Source organism: Homo sapiens, chromosome 6, assembly GCF_000001405.40.
Source record: "Homo sapiens chromosome 6, GRCh38.p14 Primary Assembly".
Classification (NCBI taxonomy): domain Eukaryota; kingdom Metazoa; phylum Chordata; class Mammalia; order Primates; family Hominidae; genus Homo; species Homo sapiens.
In genome coordinates this window covers 135208071-135233256 of record NC_000006.12, presented here as the reverse complement: position 1 = coordinate 135233256, position 25186 = coordinate 135208071, and the positions used below count along the sequence as shown (strand labels likewise).

The following is a 25186-nucleotide window of genomic DNA, read 5'->3' as shown; positions in this document are numbered from 1 at the left end:
CATGTTAGTAAATGATCAGAGGTTTGGCATCAGATAGTATATTTCCTTTAAGGCCTTCAAAATGTTAATCATTTCTCTTCTTGCACATTTTTTTTTTTAGAGACGGAATTTCGTTCTTGTTGCCCAGGCTGGAGTGCAATGGTGCGATCTCAGCTCACTGCAACCTCTGCCTCCCTGGTTCAAGTGATTCTCCTGCTTCAGCCTCCTGAGTAGCTGGGATTACAGGCACGCGCCACCACACCTGGCTAATTTTGTGTTTTTAGTAGAGATGGGGTTTTACCATGCTGTCCAGGCTAGTCTCGAACTCCTGACCTCAGGTGATCCACCCGCCTTGGCCTCCCAAAGTGCTGGGATTACAGGCATGAGCCTTCATACCCGGTCAAACATCTGTCTTTAATTTAGAAAATACGGAGTAAAGAAATCATTAACTTATAAGTATAAGCCATTTAATTTTTTAAAAAGGTCAAGTCCAGTTGATCACACCTGTAATCCCAGCACTTTGGGAGGTGGAGGCAGGTGGATCACTTGAGACCAGGAGTTCGAGAGCAGCTTGGGCAACATGGCGAAACCCTGTCTCTACAAAAAATACAAAAATTAGCCCCATGTGGTGACGCATGCCTGCAGTCCCAGCTATTCAGGAGGCTGAGGTAGGAGGACAGCTTGAGCCTGGGAGGCAGAGGTTGCAGTGAGCCATGATAGTGCCACTATGCTCCAGCCTGGGCAACAGAGCCAGACCATGCCTCCAAAAAACACAAACACATACACACACACACACACACACACACACACACACACACAACCCCACAAAAAATCCCATAAGTTCTCTCCAGTCTTACTTGTATGCTCAGCTTTCAAATGTTTATAATGTACCACTAACGTTACTAGTGCATGGCGTTCACCCTTCCTGTCAACATTTTATTATGAATATTTTAAAAGTCCAGAAAAATCAAAAGTTTTTTCTTTTCTTTGACAGAGTCTTGCTCTGTCACCCAGTCTGGAGTGCAGTGGTGAGATCCCAGCTCACTACAACCTCCACCTCCCAGGTTCATGTGATTCTCCTGCCTCAGCCTCCGGAGTAGCTGGAACTACAGGTGCACACCACCACACCCGGCTAATTTTTATATTTTTAGCAGAGATGGGGTTTTGCCAGTGTTGGCCAGGCTGGTCTTGAACTCCTGACCTCAAGTGATCTGCCCGCCTTGGCCTCTCAAAGTGCTGGCATTACAAGCATGAGCCACTGCTCCTAGTCAAAAGATTTTTAAAGCAAACACCCATACACTTAGGCCTAGATCTACAATTGACATCTTACACTACTTGCTCTAGCATAGCATCAAATCATCTAGCCATCCCTATCCATCCACCAACCTATCTGTATTCACCTTTAATTGGATAGGTAGGTAGCCCAGGACAAAAGACTGTTAAGAATATTGCTTTGTGAGCAAAGGTTTTTCACTTCACCTTGGCACCAGGTTCTGCAGACAAAACCACCAATGATCTGTAAGTCAACTTCAAAGGAAGGACACCAATAAAAGCGCCAACTGCAATCAGTTTCAAAATGACTTACATAGTCTGAATGGTGGCATTGCCTGCCTGCTCATAGGAAGGGTTGGCAAGAATGCAACTCCTGCCTGGTGGCCCAGAGAGTGTTCCTTCATTGAAGCTCTAATTCTGAGTCATATTTTGGGTCTGTCTTTATTTTCTTTCTTTCTTTTTTTTTTTTTTAAACTCCTGGGACTTCCTTCTCTATAGTGATACAAACAAAGATAAAAGATAAGGAAAGAAAATCATGGACTAGGGGTCTGTAGAAGGGTAGAAGATTATCTCACGGCTCTGCCAAAGGGGTTAGATATCTGGGACAGAGGGTGAAATCCACTGAGTAGAGAAAACTAAAAAACACATATAGTGGTGGAGAGAAGAGGCAAGGCAACTCCAGAAGAATGATTCAGCTATTATAGAAGTTAGGAGGAAGAGCAGTCAGCATGTGCTACAGAGCTGGGGTTCTGGCAGAGTTCTGGAAGTGGGGCCCTGGAAATACTCCACAACTGTTTTCAACTAGAATAAGGCCCACATAGCCCTATAATTGATTTTATGTCCCAAGCACATGCTACTTCATGTCCCAGACTACTCTCTTAAATAATAATTGAACCAAAGGGACCCCATAATCAGTATTATAAATAGATTTGAGACTTGTGACTTAGGGAGCTCCACAAATTTCAATATATACTGGTTGTTTTTGTAGATGGGGTGGGGTGAGCTCTCTGGCTGCCTGATTATGGTTGCTGGGAGCTTCTCCAGTGAGCGTAGTCCTGCAACTCCTCCTCTCCCTGCTAAAACCACCACCATCCTGCTTGGAGATAAGAAGACGTTTAAAAAATGTTAATACCTATTAAGAGAGCACTCAGAGGAAAACAACTAGAGGAATGGGAAGAGGATGGAAGGAGGGAATTGTGGAGAAACTTACTAATTGTCTTGCAGTAGTCAGTCAGGAAAAATTCTACTCCACCAAAATCTATTATTGGTGTAGTACTTTATTCATGGATTTCCCTGTGGACAAGATTACTGGGACTTTAGCTTAAAAAAAAAACATGAGGGCCTCTGATACTAGTTTGTAAAAGAAAGAAAAAAGAAAAAAAAATCGGCTGGGCTTGGTGGCTCATGCCTGTAATCCCAGCACTTTGGGAGGGCGAGGTGGGCAGATCGCCTGAGGCCAGGAGTTCAAGACCAGCCTGGCCAGCATGGTGAAACCCCGTCTCTACTAAAAATCAAAAATTAGCCAGGTGTGGTGGCACATGCCTGTAATCCCAGCTACTCAGGAGGCTGAGGCAGGAGAATCGCTTGAACCTGAGAGGCAGAGCTTGCAGTGAGCTGAGATTGCACCACTGCATTCCAGCCTGGGTGACAGAGTGAGACTCTGTCTCAAGAAAAAAAAAAAAAATTCAAAAATTAAGCCCAGATCAAAAACAATCCTGTCATCCTATTGGTTATGAAGATAATATGAGGCTGTAACCATTTTGAGAGACAGGGGGTGCTCTTAGTGGGCCTGTAGACCTGCGTGGGCAGAGGGAACAGCAACTGAGCCATGGAAATGAAGATTAAAGGGGAAATTGTGCCATCAGAATCACCGCAGTATCCCAGCTAACCAACCTACCAGCTCAAGGCCTGAATATTGTTGCTGCTGAAACCCTTTTTGTTTCTCCCACACTTCTCTTTGTGTCCTTACAGAAAGGCCCCATTAGCTGAGACCACCTGAGTCTGAATGTGTCTTGGGTCTTTGCAATCTTAAGTAGCTCAAATAACTGGAAGTGGAGACCTCTAATTCTAAGATGGGCTAGCACTCTGGACACTGTATGTATGTGAGGGGGGCAGAGGAAAGAGCTATATAATCTTCACTCACACCTCCATAGCCTTCCTCTTGGGAATTATGAGGACTATAGATATATTAGAGGCAATCTAATTTCATAATTGATTAAATAGGCCTATGTTTATAGCCAGTGGCAATAAGAACAAAGTAGGAACCTAAATCTGACTCCTGGTGAGGCTCACTTTTTACTCTTCTTTTTATTTATCAAGCAGTGCACGTGCTTTCTCTCTCTCTCTCTCTGTCTTCCTGCCCCCACACAACTCAACAATCTTTCCAAGTGAGCATTCTCTCCCTGTTTTCCAGTTGACCTAGTGATGATAGACCTTGGCAAAATGCTATTTAAAAGAGGGATTTTCAGAAGGCTAGGAAGCCCTGGGCTCAGTGATTTCTATGGGCCACTACAGTATTCCATGCTTCCCTTTTGCAGCATTCATACCCACTCTTGAGGTCATGTATTTCTCTCTAGAGTGTATGTTCCATGAGGACAGATACTGTTTGTCTTGTTCACTGCTATATCCTAGCATCTAACACAGACGAATTGCCAGCATAGACTCCGCCAGAATTCCATTATCTGTTCAGCAAACACATACAAAGGACTTACTATGAGCTAGGCACTGGGCCCACGGAAGATGGTAATGGTACAGTGGTTTTCAAAGTGTGGGTCCTGGACCAATGGTATCAACGTCACCCGGGAATTTGTTAGAATTACAAAGGCTCGGGCCTCAACCCAGACCTACAGAATCAGAAACTGAGGGGTTGGCACCAAAAATCTGTGTTTTCACAAGCCCACCAGGTGATTGGTTGCATGCTAATGTTTGAGAACCACTATGCCGGCTTGCCCCAATTATTTATTACAATTGTCCACATTCTTTTCTCCAATTGGAAGGAGTCTATAGCACCTAGCACATGCGTATTGCCAAAAGCTCTTGGTAGTTCCATAGTTCTCAAGCCTTACTGCACTTCAGAATCACCTGGGGTGCTTTCCAAAATTACCAAGGGCTTGGTTTCTCCCCCTTGAGATTCGGCTTCACTTGGTCCTGGGTGTGACCTGGGCATTGATTTTTTTTTTTTTAAGTTCTTCAGATGATTCTAATACACAGCTAAGATTAAGAATCACTGAGGTAGCTGGAAGACTACAAAGGGAGCGGGGAATTGAAACTGAACACACTGAAGGAAGCCAAAGTATTAGGTTGAGTCACATGAAGTTGACCACATATTGTAGGTCAAATCAGTCAAATATTGCCAATTTAACCTACCAGATGTTCTCAACTCCCAAACAGAAGCAGTCATGGTGTGTAGCCAACAAAAGGACCTAGGTAATAGAAAAATCACGGCTGGGTGCGGTGGCTCACGCCTGTAATACCAGCACTTTGGGAGGCCGAGGCAGGTGGATTACCTGAGATCAGGAGTTCAAGACCAGCCTGACCAACATGGAGAAACCCCATCTCTACAAACATCCAAAATTAGCTGGGCATGGTGGAGCATGCCTGTAATCCCAGCTACTCAGGGGGCTGAGGCAGGAATCGCTTGAACCCAGGAGGTGGAGGTTGCGGTAAGCCAAGATCGCGCCATTGCACTCCAGCCTGGGCAACAAGAGCAAAACTCCATCTCAAAAAAAAAAAAAAAAAAGAAGGAAAAGAAAAATCATAAGCTCAGTTACACTGTTTAACTGAAGCAGAATCCATTATCTTCACCACTAATACTGCCATTGTGATTTTTGATTACTTTTCTTCTAGGGCTGGGGTCACAAACTTTTTTTCTGTAAAGGGCCAGATAGTAAATATTTCAGGTTTTGGAGGTCACATGGTCTCTGTTGCAACTATTTCACTCCACCATTGCAGCAGAAAACTAACCATAGATAATATGGGAAATAAAAGGGTGTGGCTGTGTTCCAATAAAACTGCATTTATTAAAACAGGAAGTGGGCCAGATTTGGCCAGGAGCTATAATTTGTCCACCTCTGTTCAACAGTATTGGTTTTTCCGTAAGAATGTTAGAAAGTAGGTGTAAGTTGTTTTAGACTTTTGCATGATGAAACGGCTGGCTTGTGATATGAACTAGCTGTAAGACATACAGAAAGCTTCCCGATGTTGCACAGCCTTTAAGTGACACAACTGAGTATTGTTGGGTTCCTTCGACTCCCATTTAAGCAGAAATTTTAAGGCTTGGGGATAGAGATGGGAGGAGACCCAAAGTGTGGAAATGCCTCCCTTCCTTTACGTGGTGTTTAGCAAATGTTATCATCAAAGGCATTACCTTCATGAGCAATACACACTTCAAACAAACCCTCTAAAATCACTGTAGTTTTGTTACCGGTAGAGGGTGTCCAGGTTCTTGGTGTCTTGGACAAAGAATTGGACAAAATGTGCAAATAAAGCAAGGAAAGAATGAAGCAACACAGGCAGAGATTTATTGAAAATGAAAGCATACTCCACAGGGTGGGAGCAGACCTGAGCAAGTGGCTCAGGAGCCCAGTTACACAATTTTCTGGGACTTAAATACCCTCTAGAGGTTTCCCATTGCTTACTTGGTGTACACCCTATGTAAATGAAGTGGTGGCCCATGATCAGTCTGATTGCTTGTGGGAGGGGATAAAATAGAGTATATACAAAGTTATACTCCTATGCAAATGAAGACTTGACCCATGACCAACCTGATTGGTTGCAGAAGGGGACCAATCAGAGGTACTTTCAATATTTCATCTGCCATGCGGAAAAAGTTGGGGGGTTGTAAAGGGAGTAGCCTCTGGTCCTTTTGATAGTTGGGCATGGCAAGTTGGGGGTTTTCCTTTTGATTTAGTTCTAGGAATTAATTGTGAATCAGCCCTAGGTTCCCTGCCTCTAGACCCTATTCTCCTGCCTCAGTTTCCCATATTTTCATGACTTCATTTACTCAGAGATAATTAGAGTTGGAGGGAATCTATGGCTGAGCTGATCCCAAATAATTTATAGCTGAGCAAGCAGAGACCCACAGAGATGAAGTGGTTGACCATAGTAACACATGTAGGGTGGAGGTGAGACCACTCACAGATGCTCAACCACATTCATACGTGGATTGTCTGAATATTTACTGAGCACTTATGTCATGTTGGGCATTGGGTTAGACACTAAAGAAAAAAGGGAGTTTCCACCCTGAAAAAGTTCAGACATGCATTAACCCATGAGCCACAGTTAAGCATGTGGCTCTGAGTGTCTGGAGACAGTGGACAAAGTTTTTGGGGAGCAGAACACCTGCTGGTTTCATTACTGATGAAAGTTAGCTGAGATCTCACCACTGCACACTCCAGCCTGGGTGACAGAGTGAGACTTTGTCTCAGAAGAAAAAAAAAAAAAAAAAGAAACCTAAGGGGTCCTTTCTGAAATTTCTGCTGGTTAATTTCCAAGCTTTTCCTTTATTTTATGGTATCATCAATTATAAGACTCTATGGGTTTAATAAGTTTACAACAAAAGAAAAATCAGACCATGTTAAAGACACAATCTGATGTCAGAAATGGTAAAAGATGAAAAAGAATATGTTAAAGAAATATGGTTATTAAAAAAGCAAATTTGAAACAAGCCTGTTTCTTAATACATCTGTGACTATCCAAGAAAATATTACTCTGCCAGTAACTTTATATATGTTATATATTGTTTATATGTAAACATATATGCTGTATATGTAATACATATTTAATTGTTTTGAATTCTGTGTTGCTTGCAGAGGAGGTGCTCAGTAAATATTTGTTGAATAAATAAATGAGTTACAGGCTCTTGACAAATAATCTCTTACCTGTTGTTCTCTTTAACTTGTATATTTATGCCCCTTATTTGCTGACTCATTGTCATTTAGTGAAATTTCATGATGGAGTGGCATTCATTCGTATTTTCAATCACCGTATTTAACCAGAATACGTGCTCCTAATGTCTTTCATTTCGGAATATTTGAAATGGGGAAGGAAATAAATTTGGGATGTTCAAAGTAAGGCCAAACTGGCGAGTACCCTAACCAATCACCACTTTCCAGAAGGCTTCAGGTCATACACTGAACACTGCGCGCCTTGACTCGGAAACTGGGCAAGGAAGGGAAGGGAGTTGTCTGTCCATTGTTAGCTATTTAGGACCATTAAAGAATAGGTGGATGGATTTGTATTCTTTAGAAAAGTGACCGAATGGAAACAAATCCTGACTCTGCCTAACATCTGCCCCCAAACACAGGCGAAGGGTGATTTGTTAACTTATAAGTTCATTTCAGAGGATGTTTTCTAGCAGGAAAACCTCACAATTATATCCTTGGTACTCCAATGTCTCTGGCCTACTAAAGCTTTCTTTCAATTTTGTCTTTGATCTGAGGTTCTCCCTGGGCTTTGTAACTATATACAGGATTAAATACTTACCCCATTTAAATAGAAATCCCAAAGCACAGAGGAGTAAAGTGATTTGAAACAAGGGTTTTTGGCATGTTGATTAGAGACTGGTTTAGAACCAAGGATTTCTGAATGAAAATGTGTGTGTGTGTGTGTGTGTGTGTGTGTGTGTGTGTGTTTGGTCTTGTTTTGTTTATGCGCTTAACTTCGTGAGATATAAATTCCCTTATGACAGATCATATGCAATTGAACCATATTTCTAAAGAGGTTTAGATATATACAAAATTATGCTTCCCCATATATTATAAAAATCAAACAAAAGATGGATCAGCGGCCGAGGTTAGCCATTATTAGTACCAACATCTGGAACATAATAATTCCCTGGATTTAAGAAAATCTACTTATAGTTAGGGTCTTAATATTTTTCTAATACTCTATAGACAAATGGGCATTTTAATTAAAAATTATGGGCCCCAAAGGAATTGAAAGCTATTGGGGAGTGTTTAGACAGAAAACACAGGGTTGGGGGAGTAAGGCAGGGTGTTTTGGTGTGGTCCTCTCAGACCACCTGCATTAGAATCAGCTGCAAGCTTGTTAAACCTTCCCAGGTCTACACCTGACTCATAAATCAGAATCCGAGGGTGACGTCAAGAATCTCCATTTTAAACAAATTTCCAATGTGTTTCTGAGGATCATTGACTCTACAAATGCATTCTAGATTAAAGAGTAAAAGAAAATATAAAATTAAGCTAAGAACACCTTCAAGAACAAATATTGGCAGAATTTCTTAATGACCAAAATATCAAAATATAATCAGATTATTCCATACGAAAAATTCAGTAGAAGATTTGGCTTTTGAAAATGATGAGGAAACTTTTAGAGAAATTATTTGTTGATAATATTCTGCTCTTAAAAAAGAAAAGAGTTTTAAGTAATCAGTTCTTCCTGAACTAATTACTTTATGGACTATAAAACGTGAAAACAGCCCTTATGAACTTCGGATCAAAAGATATGTTTTCAATAAGATTTTTCTGGGATTAAAGCACATTCTTTTGAAATTAAGAAGCAGTAGGAAGTGCACTATGTACAATCCAATTAACTGAGTATAAGATTCAGGCCCTGCCAGCATTTGGCCCTGCTAACCTAAGGTTTAATTTTATACTGTCTATGAAAAAGGGATTTGAACAAAATTATTTATATGAATCAGCTATAAATAAGTAATTTTATATCACTGCAGAAACCATTCCATAACTCCCCATATCTCTACGGACAAAGTTCAAGCTCTATTTACACCGCTTTTCTCTCCGGCCTCGTATCTTTTTTTTTCCTCCAGGTTTCTCTTTCAGTTTCTCAAAACTCACCTCTCAGACATCACCTTTCTTCTTCTTTTCTCTCTCCCTCTTTCTTCTTCCCTAGCATATTGAGAGCACTTCATAAATATTGTGTCATTACTAACAAGATTATTACAGGTAATAGAAAAAGCAGACACATTTAAGATACATTTTGCAGATAGAATATTCAGGTCTTTCTGAGCATTTGAGTGTAAGGAGGGTAATAAGGTAAAGAGAGAAACCAAGGATGACAAATTTTTGGCTTGAGAAATGAAGAAATTAAGATACAAGGGCCAATTACTGCTAATGAGAAAAAAGCATTTAAATGATTATGAGTTCTGTTTTGTTCATACTTAATCTAAGATGCTTATATGGGGAAGATGTTAACATGGAATAGGCTGCAGGAGTCTAGAATTTCAGAGTGGGCTCAGGGGTGAAGAGATGGTATTTAAAGCCACAGCACTGATGAAATCCTTTAGGAAGAATGATGGAGAGAGAAGGAGGAAAGGGCCACTTGAGGCCCAAAGTGAGGAGGAGCAGCAAACAGAGGGAACCAGTGAGAAGCAGGAAAACCAAGAGAGTCATGCCTGAAGCCAAGAGAGAAAAATGGTTAGAGAAAGAGGGGGTGTCAACTCTGTTGACTGCTGCCAATAAGTAAAGTAAAATGAGGCCCAAGAAGTGACTACAGCATTTGGCGAAGTGGAGGTCACTGGTGACATTGAAGAGGCAGGCATGGAGGAGTGGGGGCAATGAAAGTTCATGTGGAGTGGGCAGAGGGGAGGCAACCTGGGGAAGTGGGGACCTGCCATACAGAATTCCCTTAAGCAGTTTTGCTGAGGAGCAGATAAATGGGGTGGTATGATGGGGTATATAAGGGGATATTGTCCACTTGAGTCCAAGAGTTTGAGACCAGCCTGGGCAACATGGTGAAACCTTGTCTCTACAGAAAGTACGAAAATTAGTGGGGCTTGGGGGCACGTGCCTGTAGTCCCAGCTACTTGGGAAGCTGAGGTAGGAGGATCACATGAGCCCAGGAGGCTGAGGCTGCAGTGAACCCTGATTGTGCCAATACTGATTAGCCTGGTATGACAGAGCATGACTCTGTCCCCACTCCCCCAAAAAAAAAGAAAAAAGAAAAGAAAAAAAATTAAACTATACTGATGAGGGAACATTGTCTTTCCTGCTGGAAGTTGTAGACCATGTTAATGTGAGGGAATAATTGGGAGAGAGGAAGACAATGATGATGTCGGGGAGAGAGAGAGTATTCACAAGATGAAACCCCTGAGGATACAGAGGAATGGCTTGCAGAGGCCAGATGGATGGGCCAGTCCATGACTGCAGCTGGGCATGCTCACCCATGCTAACAAGAGACAGAGTAGGCATGCAGGTGTGGCTCTTGACGGCTTCTCTTTTCTCATTCGTGTATGAGTCAAAGTTATCTGCGGGGACTGGGTAGAAACGGGATGGAGAGTTTGAGAGAAAGGGGTGTGAAACTGTTGTTTGGAGCATGGGGAAAAAATTTACTAACTAGATATACTCAGGTAGTAGAACTGCCTGAATGTCCAAATACAATATATCATCATGAATTTAAAGATAACTTGTTATATTTGGGTGTTTTTATTCAGCAAGTTTAAGATGTCACATCTTACTCTACTGTCCTTTCCAACTTTTGCCTGACTTTATCTGTCAGTCCTGCCTAGGTGTCAGTTCTGTAGGAAACCTGTCTTCTTCCTCCACGTCTTGATCTGGTGCTCTACGTGGTCTCCGTTATCCCTATTCTGATTATATTGTAGTAACCTTTACTCATCTGTATCTCCCATCTGAACATAAGCTCACAGAGGGCAGGGACTTTGATCTATGTTGTTCTGAGCTCTAACCCCAACTTCTGACACAGCACCTGGCACAAAATAGAGCCTCGACATGTACTAGTTGAATTAAAGAAATATAGTGTAAAGACAAATATCAAACCACCTCTTTCATTTCCATATTAGCATCAAGATTACTTTCTTTTCTTTCTTTTTTTTGAGATGGAGCATTCCTCTGTCGCCCATGCTGGAGTGCAGTGGTGCAATCTTAGCTCACTGCAACCTCCGCCTCACAGGTTCAAGTGATTCTTGTTCCTCATCCTCCCAAGTAGCTGGGATTACAGGCACGCACCATCACACCCCACTAATTTTTGTACTTTTAATGGAGATGGGGTTTTGCCATGTTGGCCAGCCAGGCTGGTCTCGAACTCCCGACCTCAGGTGATCCACCTGCCTCAGCCTCCCAAAGTGCTGAGATTACAGGCATGAGCCACCGCACCTGGCCAAGATTATTTTCACTGAATATTAATTTTAAAAAATTATTAACTGTTTATTACCAGAACACTAACAAGTTCCATAAGATTTATAGTTTAGCTTCCTTTTGCTATAGGGAGCAAAGTTACTAGGTATAATTGTATATAAGTAAACTTTACTTTTGAAATTTATTTATTTTCAGAGATGGGGTCTCTCTGTGTTGTCCAGGCTGGTCTCAAACTCCTGGGCTCAAGGGATCCTCCCACCTCAGCCTCCCAAGTCGCTAAACTTTACTTTTACAAAGAGATTTGTATTTTAGCTGACTTCCTTTCCTCAAGGATGAGGACTTGGTGACTAAGGAAGAATTGATTTTTATAATAGTAATGGTTCAAAGGAGAAAAATAAGCCCCAAAGTTGTAAGTATTTTAAGTGGAGTGTAATAGACCTGCACATCACATTTTTTTTGGATTAGAAAGCAGCAAGCTTAAGGAAAAATATGCCCTCTACTTCCCACATATATATTTGTACAAGGAGAAACATATTAACTAAAATATGTTAGAATGATTAGTAATATTTTGAGAAGATATAATTGAGTTTTAAAGTAAGTTTTTAACATAGAATAGTTTTAACACACAATTGGGGACATGGGTCTCGGAGGTATTCACTTTCCCATCGCTGGGTAACAGACATTTTTCTCTAATTGATCATAAGTCATCATGGTGACTTATCTAATCAACAGGCACGGCAACATTTTACAGAGATGCAAGAATGTATTTACTTGCAGAATCTTCACAATAACAACCTTGACTTGAAATGCATTTTTATCTCCAGTATAATTAAAATATAAGTAAAATAAAGCTTTGAGAGATTAAGTAAAACATACAAAGTCACACAGCTGGTAAAGGGTAGGGTCTGAATTCAAATCAAGATTGGTGGCCAGGTGCGGTGGCTCACACCTGTAATCCCAGCACTTTGGGAGGCTGAGGTGGGAGGACTGGTTGAACCCAGGAATTTGAGACCAGTCTGGGCAAGATGGCAAGACACCACCTATATTTAAAAAGAAAAAAAAAGATTGGTCTGGCTTCAAAACTGATTTTCTTTCAATAAAGCAAGACAGTGAGCCCCTTATGGGAAGCCCTGATGATATCTAATGTCCCTTTCAGTTCTAATATTGTATAATTTCTAAAGAAAGAAGGAAGTTTATCCCTGGGCATCTCTCTTATCTTGAATTTTCAGTCCCATCTAGAGGTCGGGGACACATCAGTCTTCTCAGTGTCTCTCCTGTTCTCTGGATGGACATACGCAGAAGCAACTTCACACACAGTAACTCACAAGGGCAGCCTTTCATTTAAGTAGTATATAATACTGTTTTCACTTGTACTACCTGAATTCCTGCTGTAGAGAGCAGGATGATTTTCAAAATTGATCAGAACAATCAACGTTTTGGAGATGCTTGTGAACTGGGTGTGCTGTGTGAGTATTTGACCATAACAGCTAAATTTACACTCCTTTTCATGAAGTTAGGTTTTTAGTCTCTAGTTATTGGGTTACAAGCGTGTTGGAAATATAAATATCTATTTCAGTTCTGTAAGATGTTGAGTTCACTCTTGTCATTAATAATTAAGTGACCTCTCAATATAACTGTGTAATTGGCAGTGCACATTATCAGCAAGATGGGCATTCAACACACTACACAGCAAGCATCACTGGACTGTGGAAAGTGTACATAATAACAAACATTTGTATAGTGCATTACTTAATAAAAGTTTCACTGTGGGAAAGAACTCATTGCCCAGATAAGGAAAAAAGGCTCAGAGATGTGAGTGACTTGTCTAAGTTCAAACTGCTAGTAAGTGGCAGAGTCAGCGCTTGGAAAAATACTCGGAGAGGGCATGAATATAAAGAGCTTCCCAACACTGGGAAGACGTGTCACGTCATCTATCAGCAGGACAGTAAAAGTCCACCAAATTGACTCAAAAACTAGTAATTAGGCGTAACAAATCCTTGGCTCTATGAACACCAAGTGTATCATGCCCATGAGAATTCAGAATTGGAACAGAGTGAGTAAAGGAAATTTAAAGGAATTTATGTTAAAAGGGATATTACAGCATAGTGAAGAGAACACTAAGCTGAAGATGGAGCCAGTAGAGATTCATCTGTGAAATGGGGCTATTTTGAACAAACGACTCCGCATACCCTTGAAGGCTCACAGGCCGGCTCCCATATGGGAGCTCCCTTGTCCTCCAGCTTCTGGTTGGTTCTGCCAGTGAGGACCCCTAGGCAGAGATAGGAGAAATGGGGAAACAAAGTTAGGGTTTACCCTTGGCTCCCTCCCTGTGAGGTCTCCTTCGATGGCAGTGGTCTCATCAAAGGCTAGTGCTCCTCTCAAGGGCTCCTGCTTTCCTGACTGTCCCCCTCCAGGCGGCCTTCCAGGTGCCTTCAGGCCTGCACCCTGTTGCTCTCCTAGCCCCTGCCCACATCTGTGGTATCAGTACATTTGTGAACGAATTCCCCTTACAGCATCCGCACTCAAATGCCGCTAGACCCTGACTGATGCATTCTGGAAGATTCCTCCCCATTGTCCATGTGATTGTTTGTGAACTATTTAACTCAGTTTGCTTGTTCTTTCTTTTCCATTGTAATGATTCCTGGCTTCTTCACACGAAGTGCATATGGTGTGCAATTATTAGAGGAAAGTGCCTTGAGTCTGCTCCATTTTCTTTAAAGTGTAACTGTTGTCCATAGTGACAAATAAGAGAGAAAACAAAAGTAGGTAAAATAAGGGCACATCTTTATTTTGCTACAAGGCAGTAAGTACACCGTCATATCTCAAAAGTTCAGTGCTGGCCATCTTGCATCAAATGTTCTTAAGGCAGTGACTGGCTATCAACCACAGTTTCTGTCTCCCCAGTTGCAAACACAGGATCCATGCAACAGTTCTGAGACCATACACTTAGAAACCACAGGGGATGCGGATCAAATGCAGAACTCCCAAATTATAAAACAGTCAGGCTACACTCAAAACAAAACATAGAACATCAACAACACACATCTCCCAAAAAAGAAGTGCAACGCATGCTTGTATAAACCAACAATAACAAAAAAACCACAATAAAAAATGCAGAGTCTCCCAAACAAGTTTTCAAATGTATTGCAGAAGGAAAAAAAATGTATATATATATAAAATTAAAAAGTCTGAAATACTAGTGCATAGTCAATTACCTAACACCAAGTTTCTTTTCTTTCTGTCCAAGCTCTACTGCCCCTCTGATACTAGCAGCATGTCTACAGGCTAAGACCATAGCAGCAAAAAACGTTTTTCATTTGGCATTTACAAAATTAAATTACTGAATAAAAATATAATTTTTTATAAAACTATTTCTTACAGTAATAATTTTTAAAGCAAGCTAACAGAAAACTCATAAAATGGTTTGGTACAATAAATGTACCTTCAATGTCATTAACCATAAATGAGCATTTACAATCTGGATTAAATGTCACATGGTATTAAGTCTACACTTAGAGTAATGCTTTTACTGATTTTTAAAAATATATGCATATGTTTAGTGATCGAGAAAAGTGAAATACTGGAGTACCTTTTAATGTGTCAAATTTCAAAAAACCCATCACAGGAAAAAATACTGATCTGTTGGATCCTTTAAAATACAGATAAATCATTTTATGTTTTTTTTAAAAAAATCTGCATTAAGATATTAACAACTGGCTACAATTCATTACCTAATAATTTAGGTAAGACTGTTATTTATTTTTAAAAATCCTTTTAGTTGGGTGAAATCCAAGAAGACTTCATTCAACTAAATGCACTTGGTGCTGCTCTCAACTGTTGTACCACAACAAAAATAGGTTCTTCTCCCATTCATGAAAAGTTTCATGTTGAGGAATGATATATCCCAAGTCAACTTGAAGTGTTCTGAAAACCATAATGCTTTTCTGGAAATGTCTCACATGACCAGCGTCCGGGCTGAGAATGCATTCACGTATTTACGAGCTTGACTGGAAGATGTCATCTGCTCCTCCATCTTTCCACAGGATGCAGGTTCCCAGGTACTGCTACAAGGCTGATGGAGAAAGGGATGGCAACAGGAGCGTCAGACAAAGAAGCTCATTCTATAGACCCAGCAGGGCCAGCACTGACCAACAGATGGCAAGTGGTTGACACCAGGAAGGCTTTGTCAGATAGAATCTTACCTCCCTGGCCCCCAGAAATCCGGTGTTCTTAAGGGATATGGATGATCAGAAATTATTTGTTAAGAGGGAAAACCCATTCCAAGCAGCTTCATAAGATATAATCCCATCTTCATATTTTAATGCCTTCCGTCTATTAGGCAATTTTACAAAGCTGGAGACAGGAATGAGCATTATTCTCCAGATACCTAAAGTGAGCTATGGCCATCTACTCACTAAGCAAACTGCTGAGTGCTGTAGCCACAGTGCAAAGCAGCTCATGCACGCACTGGAATTGATCAACACCTGCTAAGTGTCATATATATGTTTTCATCAATTACTTTAGAAATATTTATCAGTATAGTTTAATTTTTTTCCTTTTTTTTTTGAGACAGAGTCATGCTCTGTCATACCAGGCTGATCGGTATTGGTGCAATCACAGCTCACTGTAGCCTCAGCCTCCTGGGCTCAAGTGATCCTCCTACCTCAGCTACCCAAGCAGCTGGGACTACAGGCACGTGCCACCAAGCCCCACTAATTTTTGTATTTTCTGTAGAGACAGGGTTTCACCATGTTGCCCAGGTTGGTCTTGAACTCCTGGACTCAAGTGATCTGCCGGTCTTGGCCTCCCAAAGTGCTGAGATTACAGGCATGAAGCCAGTATAGTTTAATTTTTAAAGATACACTAGAAGATACAAGATGGACCTAATATCTAAGGACAGCATCTCCATGCCAGGGACAGTGGCACTTCACATTTCACATGCATTATTTCATTAAAACAGCACCATCACCTCGGGAGGCAGGTTCATTCTCTCTCTAGACAGGCTCGAGAATGGAGACAGAAAATGGAGGTAACTTGCCCAAGGCCACTCTGTAGGTAAGTGGTGGACTGGCTTTGAACTTTGCTGTCTCCAGCTCCTGCGATGCCTCTGTGTTGCCTCAAATGCAAACATGTACTATTTATGCCCCACTTGGTTTCCAAAAGGACGTAAGATGATTAGAAAAGAAATACAAGACAACAGAGTTTAAAAATGTGTATAAAGAAGAGTCATAACAGGGAAACAAATTTGGAAAAAATAAACACAGTTGGCCCTCTGCATCTGTGGGTCCCATATCTGTGGGTTCCACATCCATAGATTCAATCAATGGCAGATCAAAAATATTCAGAAAAAAATAATTGCTGTGTATTGAACATGTATAGGTGTTTTCCTTGTCATTATCCCCTAACAATATAACAACTATTTCCATAGCATTTACATTGTATTAGCTATTATAAGTAATCTAGAGATGACTTAAAGTATACAGGAATGAACGGGTACAATGTACATTATTCCAACGATAAATACACTCACAGCCTCGACTTTGACCACTATGCAATACATCCATGTAACAAAATTACACTTGTACCCCACGAATGTATACAAATAATAAAAAAAATTATATGGTAAGATGTGTGTAGATTATATGCAAACACAATGCTATTTTATATCAGGGACTTGAGCATCCCTGGACTTTGGTGTCCTTGCGGGTTCTGAAACAAATCCCCCATGGACACTAAGGAACAACTGTAACATGAAGATGGTATGAGATTTGCACACGAAACACCAGCATAAAGCACAGTGCCCCAGCTAGATGTAACCTCCTGCTTGACTCTGATCTCTCTAGCAGTCAATGCAGAGAGGGGAACAGAAACAAACAGATATAAGATTTGGTGGCTGTAAGCTCAAAAGGAAACCAGTGGGTTAGAAAAGGCACTATTCCTGGTATTGCTATCTGGAGGGATTATTTTCCATGGGACAAAAGAATAAGAAAGGCCTTAGCTGTTCAGAGCCTACAGTGTCCTTTATGAGACAGAATGGACACAGGTGAAACAGGAGGAATAATAACAGGCCGTGTGCGCAGGTTTGTGGTGTTGTCCATGGGAAGAGGGGATGGGACACTGAGGAACTGTCAAGGCAATGCTGTGGGGAAAGGGTGAAAACAGCTAAGATTAGGGGAGAGAGAGGTGGAAACGCAGGGATGTCATCCAGGGAGCGAGATAGCAGGAAAGAGGCAGGAAGCTGCAATTTGTACATTGCCAGTGGGAGGGGATGTGGAGTGGGGGAGGGCTGAGAAAGAAAGGGTTAAACGACAACATAAAACAAGCCCTCACTATAGGCACCGCATGCCTCTAAGTGTTATTGATATAACTCCTCTCATTTAATTCTCACACAAAACACCTGTGGCATAGCTACCATTCACTGCATCCATTTTACAGACCAGGCAATTTGAAAGGAAGAGAGGATTTAGGCGCCATACTCAAGGTTACCTGGGTAAGAAATGATGGAGCAAGAATGTCACCCATGGGACCACACCCCTGGTGAGTACCAGACGCTGCCTCTAATTCGAGTTCTTATCAGAAACAATAAAAGGAACCTGGGAAGTTGTGTGCTCAGGGCACCAGGGCCTTGGAATCCAGGAAAGTGCTGAGATGGGGTGTGAGAGTCACCAGACTTCTTAGCAAAGAAACATAATTCTACTAAAACAAGGTATGGGTACAGTGGTAGGGTTTCCTTGCCTAGTTGCTGCAACAAAGTTTCCTGACATAGGGTTTGCAGTGTAATGTTCTAGCTTTTAAACTTTCCTAGGGCACAAAGCTTGTGCCATCTCCCCACTGATGTCAACAGCACTGTCTATGAATAGAAATGTTCACTCTGCAAGCTCAGAGGCTCAACATATAACTTGAAATACTACATAGCAAGATGGATTATCATAATATTTTCCAGGAACTGAGTATCTCAAAAATGACAAGACAAAGATAACAGACAGGTATTCTGAATTGCCTTCTATTCCGAATTTAATGTTTTCCTAAACAAAATTACCAGGTTAGTTACAGTATTTGAAATAGTTCTGAATAAATCATGTTTCTCTAGCCTCAAGCATGCAGGTGAAATACGCATATCTCTCTGGTGTCTATCTGTCCATACAAATTCCCGAAACATGAAATTGACACAGGAAACCAATTAAAAAACAAAATTTAATGTTATCTTTTCAGTTACTGAGCTTGCATTTGTAGTCGCTACAACAGTGTGACATTTAATAGTGACTACTTGAGGGTGAATAGTTCAATATGGTGAATATGAAGTACGATGCAGGGCTTATGGCAAGGATTAGATGCACATGGAGCCAAGGACTTGGATCTTAAAGAACAAGTGACAAAACAGGAAGCAGAATGAAATATCTTAATATCATAATATCTTGTAGGTAAATTTAAATTTACATAAAGACACACATAGAAAAGAAAAATACTTGAAACAAATGGAGGGGAAGGGGAATGAAGGTGAGAATGGAGATGTGAGAACCAGGAAAGAAAGGATTGCTTCTGTTTTACTCTAGCTAAGAATTTTTCCAAAGTCTTTAAAATGGCCTATTAGAATTTTTTTTTTTCTATTTAGCTGGGCTTCAATCAATATAGAATTTTCTTGTCCATTTTTCTTTTTTTTAGATATAGGGCCTCATTCTGTTGCCCAGGCTGGAGTGCAGGGGCGTGATCACAGCTCCCTCAAACTCCTGGCCTCAAGCAAGCCTCCCGCCTCAGCCTCCTGAGTAGCTGGGACTACAGGAGTGTGTCACCATGCCCAGCTATGTTTTTTAAAAAAAATTTTTTGTAGAGAGCGGGGGTCTCGCTATGTTGCCTAGGCTGGTCTCAAACTCCTGGCCTCAGGTGATCTTCCTGCCTTGGCCTCTCATAGGGTTAGGATTAAGGATAAGCTACTACAACCAGCCAGAATTAATTTTCTAAATGCGTAAATTATCTTAAATGCTATGTTAAAACAATCTTATGCTTGCTATTACTATGCCTCCTGTTAAAAGTCAAGTTCTGTGTCTTTTTTGTTTTCGTTTTTGAGAGAGGGTCTTGCTCCTTGCCCAGGCTGGCATGATCACAGCTCACTGCAGCCTCCATATCCGGGGTTAAAGTTGATTCTCCAACCTCAGCCTCCTCAGTAGCTCAGACTACAGGCAGGTGCTACACTACACCTGGCTAATTTTTGTATTTTTGGTAGAGACAGGGTCTCGCTGTGTTGCACAGGCTAGTCTCAACCTCCTGGACTGAAGTGATCCACTTGCCTTGGCTTCCTAAAGTGCTGGGATTACAGGCATGAGCCACTACACCTGGCCTAAAAGTCAAGGTCTGATCCTTTGTAATATAGTCCTTAGGTTGACTCAGAATTCCCAAAGTCGATTCAGGAGAATCTAGTACTAAGTATTATCAACTGAATCTATTTTCAACTTGAAATCTGACTGTGTTCCTGTGAGATCCCCTACACAGCTCATCACTGTATTCATATTTAGCTCTTCCTCCAGGACTAGGTATTTAAAAATGAGATCAATATAAAGAAGGTACCATATATTTGTAATTAGAGTTCTGAGAGACCTTTCCAAATAGTTAGCTTCTCCTAAGTCAAAAGAGAATTTACCAAGAAACAAATAAAAATGAAATATCCAAATTCCAGAAAGCATAGCATTTCTGAGTCATATATCCCCTGAAGCTCAGAGCTAGGGCAGCCAAGATGACTTGGAACGCCTGATTCTCCCAGTATAGACAAACACCAGGATGTGGTAGCCACCATGTACGAGAACCACTGTGTGTAGGAACAAAAAGGCCACCAAGCATGAGCGAGGCAGCTCCTTTTCTGCACCAGGAAAGCACAAGACAAGCACATCTTACCACAATAAATGAAACAAACTGGTCAGAGTAGACATATGCCTATGTCGTGAAAGTCAAGGAAGATCAGAAGATTGAGTACTTTGGTACAAAAAAAAAGAAACGCTCCCTTTCTCCCATCTTACCTGAAGCCTGGGAGCCCCATGCCAACTTTTCATGCAGAAAGAATTATTTTGACAAAGGAAGATTAATGTCTTTGTGCTGGAAGAACATTTTTAAATACTGTCATACATATCTTTGCAAATTCTCCTTGTTCTCTCTCCCTAAACTTTAGTTTCATTTACCCTAAAGAACTGCTGAGAATTATGGGTTTCTGCATATGAATTCTTGTTAAGTTACTAACCCATGGTGCTCTTGCAGACATGTCACTCTATCATAATTCATTTCAACATTAATAATCCTACCCACACATCCTCCTCCTGTGGCCGGGGAGTCATCTCGCTTATCCTGTAATGTGCCTTTAATTGCCCCTGGGCAGAAGTGAACTATAAACAGTCTGTCAAAGCTTTAACTGGGATATCCTGTTAAAGCACTTTAAATAAATATTGCCATCTTTTGTAGAAAACAGAAGAAATAAAAAGAAACAAGACCATGTCCACAGGTGGTTTTCTGTCAGAATTAGATGATCTTCACATTTTCATTTAGAACATGAATAGTTTTTTCATCAAGCTGAACAAAAACGGTTCTTATTATTATATTCATACAGCAACTTCACCCAGTATCTGCTGGCTTCAAAAGCCTTGGCAAATTATGTGTTTTACAATTTGCTGACCTAATAAGAAACTTGTATAAACTAAAAAAAAAAAAAAAAAAAAAAAAAAAAAAAAAGTAAAACCAAAGCAACTCATCAGATGGTATCATGTTTTTATTGTGTTTTGTTTTAAAATAAGCAGGCATCAATGGTATATAAAACAGTAAAAAATAAGAATTTTCTGCTTATTCTATTTCACCTATCTGAAAAAAAAATACTTCCTCTGGACTAAAATTCTAAAAATGAGAATTCCTTCCCAAAGGGACATCTTTTGAAAAAATGGATCAGTTATAAGAGAGACTGTAGAAATCTTTAGTTGTCTTTGGAAAGTCAGAGATAAGCTTAAACTGAAATGTTGCTAAGGTAAGATTAATGGTTACCAAACTTTTCTCGAGAGTAAATGCTTCCCTAGGTTGGCACAAATCAATTAAATGACTCCAACTTCAGCACTACTGATTTTCTATAGAAAATAATCTTAAAAGTTAGGGAAATAAAAATCGAGATGGTGATTGGAAGTTGCCTCATCCACCAATGACTCCACTTCCCAAGCCTAACTAACAATTGCAAATGTGGATGGACCTTTCCCAAATTTGGAGTTTGTCCCCGATGTCTCTAGAGGTCTCTTCACCTTTCACGTTGATAGACTTTCTAAGTTTATATCATATAGCCTAGGGTGGCACAACTTTTTGCAATATCCTTTTCCTTAGTCACATATGAGTTCCAAACTATTAAGATTAAGACCAAGTGCCAAATTGCTCTAAAGCAATTCTATCTTTGCTGGCCTGCCCAAGGAAGATTTTTATCTCAGAATGTTTATTCTCTCTAAGTGTCACCAAACAAAACAAATGAAAAATTCACATCTCAAAATGTCTGGGGCAGGGCATTCTGACTCTGAGCTCAACATAGCTTCTCCCTTCACTTAGCCCTTCTCAGTTCAACCCAAAAGCTATACACAGAAAAGCTGCTTAATTTATAACATTTTTTGAAAGCAGGTCACTGAATTACTACTGACAGCCACGTGAATTTCTGCCAGGGTAAGTGGAAAAAAGTGACCAAAAGGGAGAACCAAATGAGTGTGCAGGCATCCAGGGGAGCGGGTCAGCACAGCACACTAGATGAAAAAGGCTCGGAAAGATCTCTGTCGTGTGCAGACGGTTTCCATGTCTGTTTAAATGACAACACGAACAGCAGAAAAATAGAGAAAACCAGTAAATCAGTTGCTTCATCTCCATCATACCGCGAGGTCTGACTACCTTTATTTCAAGGAATCAGTTGAATCAGCTCTCTCTTTTGGTGACCCACTGACACAGTTCTGTAAGAGTGGGACAGGGAATAGCATGCCAGAGGAAATAATATACCACAATGAAAAAAACAAACAAAAACCCGAAAAACAAAAAACCACCCTGGCCTTTGGTGAGGGCTCCTTGCCTGCATTTCAAGGACAGGGACTATGTGGCGACTCTGCCTAATAATATCACCTGTGTATAGTGGCAAGTGTGCCGCCATCTTGAAAGCAATATTATATCCATTTGATCTTCACAGTAACCTGTGTGATGAGTGAAGGATATTCCATGGTCCCAAACTTATACTTTGCTTAATTGTGTTCACTTGATGAATTAAAGTCATGCCGTTTGAAAACAGTGGAGTCTAGCCTGGAACCCAGGTTCTGTTGCCCCCATGCTTGTTTATTATACTGCTCAGCAGTGCCTATCAGGCAAAAAGGGCTTGCCTTATTTTTTTGAAAAATATAAAAGTTCATAGACAAATAACAAAATAGGAGCAATCTAAAACACGCTGAACCGAAAGCTGAGGGGAGTATCAACTGCTAGCAACATTTTTAAATTCTTTGATACTGTGTAAATGTGTTTAAATAATAATGGCTGGAGAAATTTCTTTAACTTAAACTCCTTGTTTTAAAAAAGTCAGGCCATGGGCAAGCCAAGTCAGGAAATTAAAATTTAAGGCTGTCATTCTGTGGTTACGAAAAAGAGGCAAGTGAGTGAGTAGAAAGCCTATGAACACATCTTTTACACTTGGGTTTTAAATAGGAATAAAAGGAAATTATAATTTAAGAGAAAAATACAGAAGTTCAGAAGGCTTATAACTTAAAGCACGGTTTTTGATCTACCAATAAAAATGTCTACCTTAAGGAAAGTTGATTAGCATAATGTGCTTTTTTCAAAACAAAGGAAATGGAAAGCACGCTGAGGAAAGCAGGCAACTCTTTTCTCCTTGCTGAGGAGGGAGCTATGCGTCTGCCTCGGTCTCTCTCGGGTAACTACTGAAGGGCAGAATCCAGCAGCATTCCACAGTGCCTTTCATACCACAAATGCACGCTTTCTAGGCTGAATGTTTTCTCTACTTCCTCATTTGTGACCATTTTATAAGCTTCTAGACTCTATCCTCTACCCCACACAATGTGGAGAAAAGGCTGAATACTGACAATGATATGACATGAAAATCTCATATATTCTGAGCCACATGAAAGACACAAATATGAAAAACATCTCAGAACATTTTTATTATAAGAATATCCTGTTTGCTTTTACAATTTAAAATTAAAACAACTGTGAAAATATAAAAGAAACATAACAATTATAAGATTATGTAGCTGTTGCAAATTCCTTTTGGAAAAAGACTAAGTAATTAAAAAAACAAACATAACATGAGTGTACATAATGGCTTATAAAAGCCTCTATTTAAGCACTGTAGATTATAGATTAGGGGATACATGGAGAGCTCTGGATTATTAAAATTCACTGAGTCTTGGCTAGGTGTGGCAGCTCACGCCTGTAATCCTAGCACTTTGGGAGGCTGAGACAGGCAGATCACCTGAGGTTGGGAGTTTGAGCCTGGCCTGGCCAACATGGTGAAACCATGTCTCTACTAAAAATACGAAAATTAGCTGAGTGTGGTGGTGGGTGCCTGTAATCCCAACTACTTGGGAAACTGAGGCAGGAGAATAGCTTGGACCAAGGAGGTGGAGGTTGCAGTAAGCCAAGATTGTACCACTGCACTGCAGCCTGGGTGACAGAGTGAGACTCTGTCTCAAAACAAAACAAAAAAAATTATTTGTATCTCAATGACAAACCACATAACAATGGACAGACTTAGCACCCTGATTTTGGTGTCTATGTACCATTTCTCACTAAGAGGATTCAGAGCACCATGGGGAAATGGCTGATTCCAGTAAGAGAGTAAGGAAATGTGGCTATTAAATTAAAGCAACTTAAATTAATTCAAATTGAAAATTCTGCTCCTCAGCAGCACTTGCCATATTTCAAGTGCTCAAAAGCCACTGGCTATCATAGTGGATAGCAGCATATTAGATATTTCCTTCACATCACTGTAGAAGTTCTATTAGACAGCACTGGACTAGAGAGTAAAAGAGATTTAAGAGGCTTAACCAAATGCAATGTGTGAAATTGTTTCAATTTTGATTCTTTTTTGGATTAATGGGAAAATTTAAATATACCTGAGAATGAGAAGATTAAAGAATTATTGTTAAATATGTAATGATGGTATTAGGTTATATATAAAAATGTCTATTTTTAGAGACACATCTGGAAGTACATGAGAATAAAATGTTATATTAGTTGGAATTTACTTTAAAATACTTCAGGCTGGGCAGGGTGGCTCCTGCCTGTAATCCCAGCACTTTGGGAGGTCAAGGCAGAAGGATTGCTTGAGCCCAGGAGTTTGAGGCCAGGCTGGGCAACACAGGGAGACCCCATCTCTAAAAAAAAAAAAAAAAACTAGCTGGGCATGGTGGCATGTGCCTATAGTCCCAGCTACTCAGGAGGCTGAGGGAGGAGGATTGCTTGAGTCCAGGAGGTAGGCTGCAGTGAGCCATGATCTTGCCACTGCACTCCAGCCTGGGTGACAGAGCAAGGCCTTGTCTCAAAAAAATAAAAAATAAAAAACTGGCCGGGTGCAGTGGCTCATGTCTGTAATCCCAGCACTTTGGTAGGCCAAGGCGGGCCGATCATGAGGTCAGGAGATTGAGACCATCCTGGCTAACACGGTGAAACCCCGTCCCTACTAAAAATACCAAAAATTAGCTAGCATGGTGACAAGCGCCTGTAGTCCCAGCTACTCGAGAGGCTAAGGCAGAAGAATCACTTGAACCCAAGAGGTGGAGGTTGCAGTGAGCCGAGATCATGCCACTGCACTCCAGCCTGGGTGACAGAACAAGACGCTGTCTCAAAAAAAAAAAAAAATTAAAAAAAAA

General features: G+C 40.7%; 1 protein-coding gene and 1 long non-coding RNA gene across 19 annotated transcripts in view; one reads left to right on the top strand and one right to left on the bottom strand.

The window, feature by feature from the left end:
• The window catches only part of LOC105378011 (uncharacterized), a 40301-nt gene that overhangs the window by 2939 nt on the left and 12176 nt on the right, over positions 1-25186 (top strand). Inside the window, exons 1-2 of one of the 2 annotated variants that reach the window (XR_001744367.2) lie at positions 15365-16376; positions 17757-17858. This is a non-coding gene — a long non-coding RNA (uncharacterized LOC105378011). Of the gene's footprint in view, positions 1-15364; positions 16377-17756; positions 17859-25186 lie in introns of those variants that run through there. The other variant, XR_001744368.2, reaches the window with a different exon arrangement.
• MYB (MYB proto-oncogene, transcription factor) overlaps positions 14085-25186 on the bottom strand; it is a 37865-nt gene continuing 26763 nt past the window's right edge. For all 17 annotated transcript variants that reach the window (NR_134965.2, NR_134958.2, NR_134961.2 and 14 more), the window contains one exon: positions 14085-15393. Coding sequence is in view for 9 of the 17 variants with exons in the window: in NM_001130173.2 (NP_001123645.1) it covers positions 15277-15393 (117 nt within the window). In the remaining 8 variants the exon portion in view is untranslated. The remainder of the gene's footprint in view (positions 15394-25186) is intronic.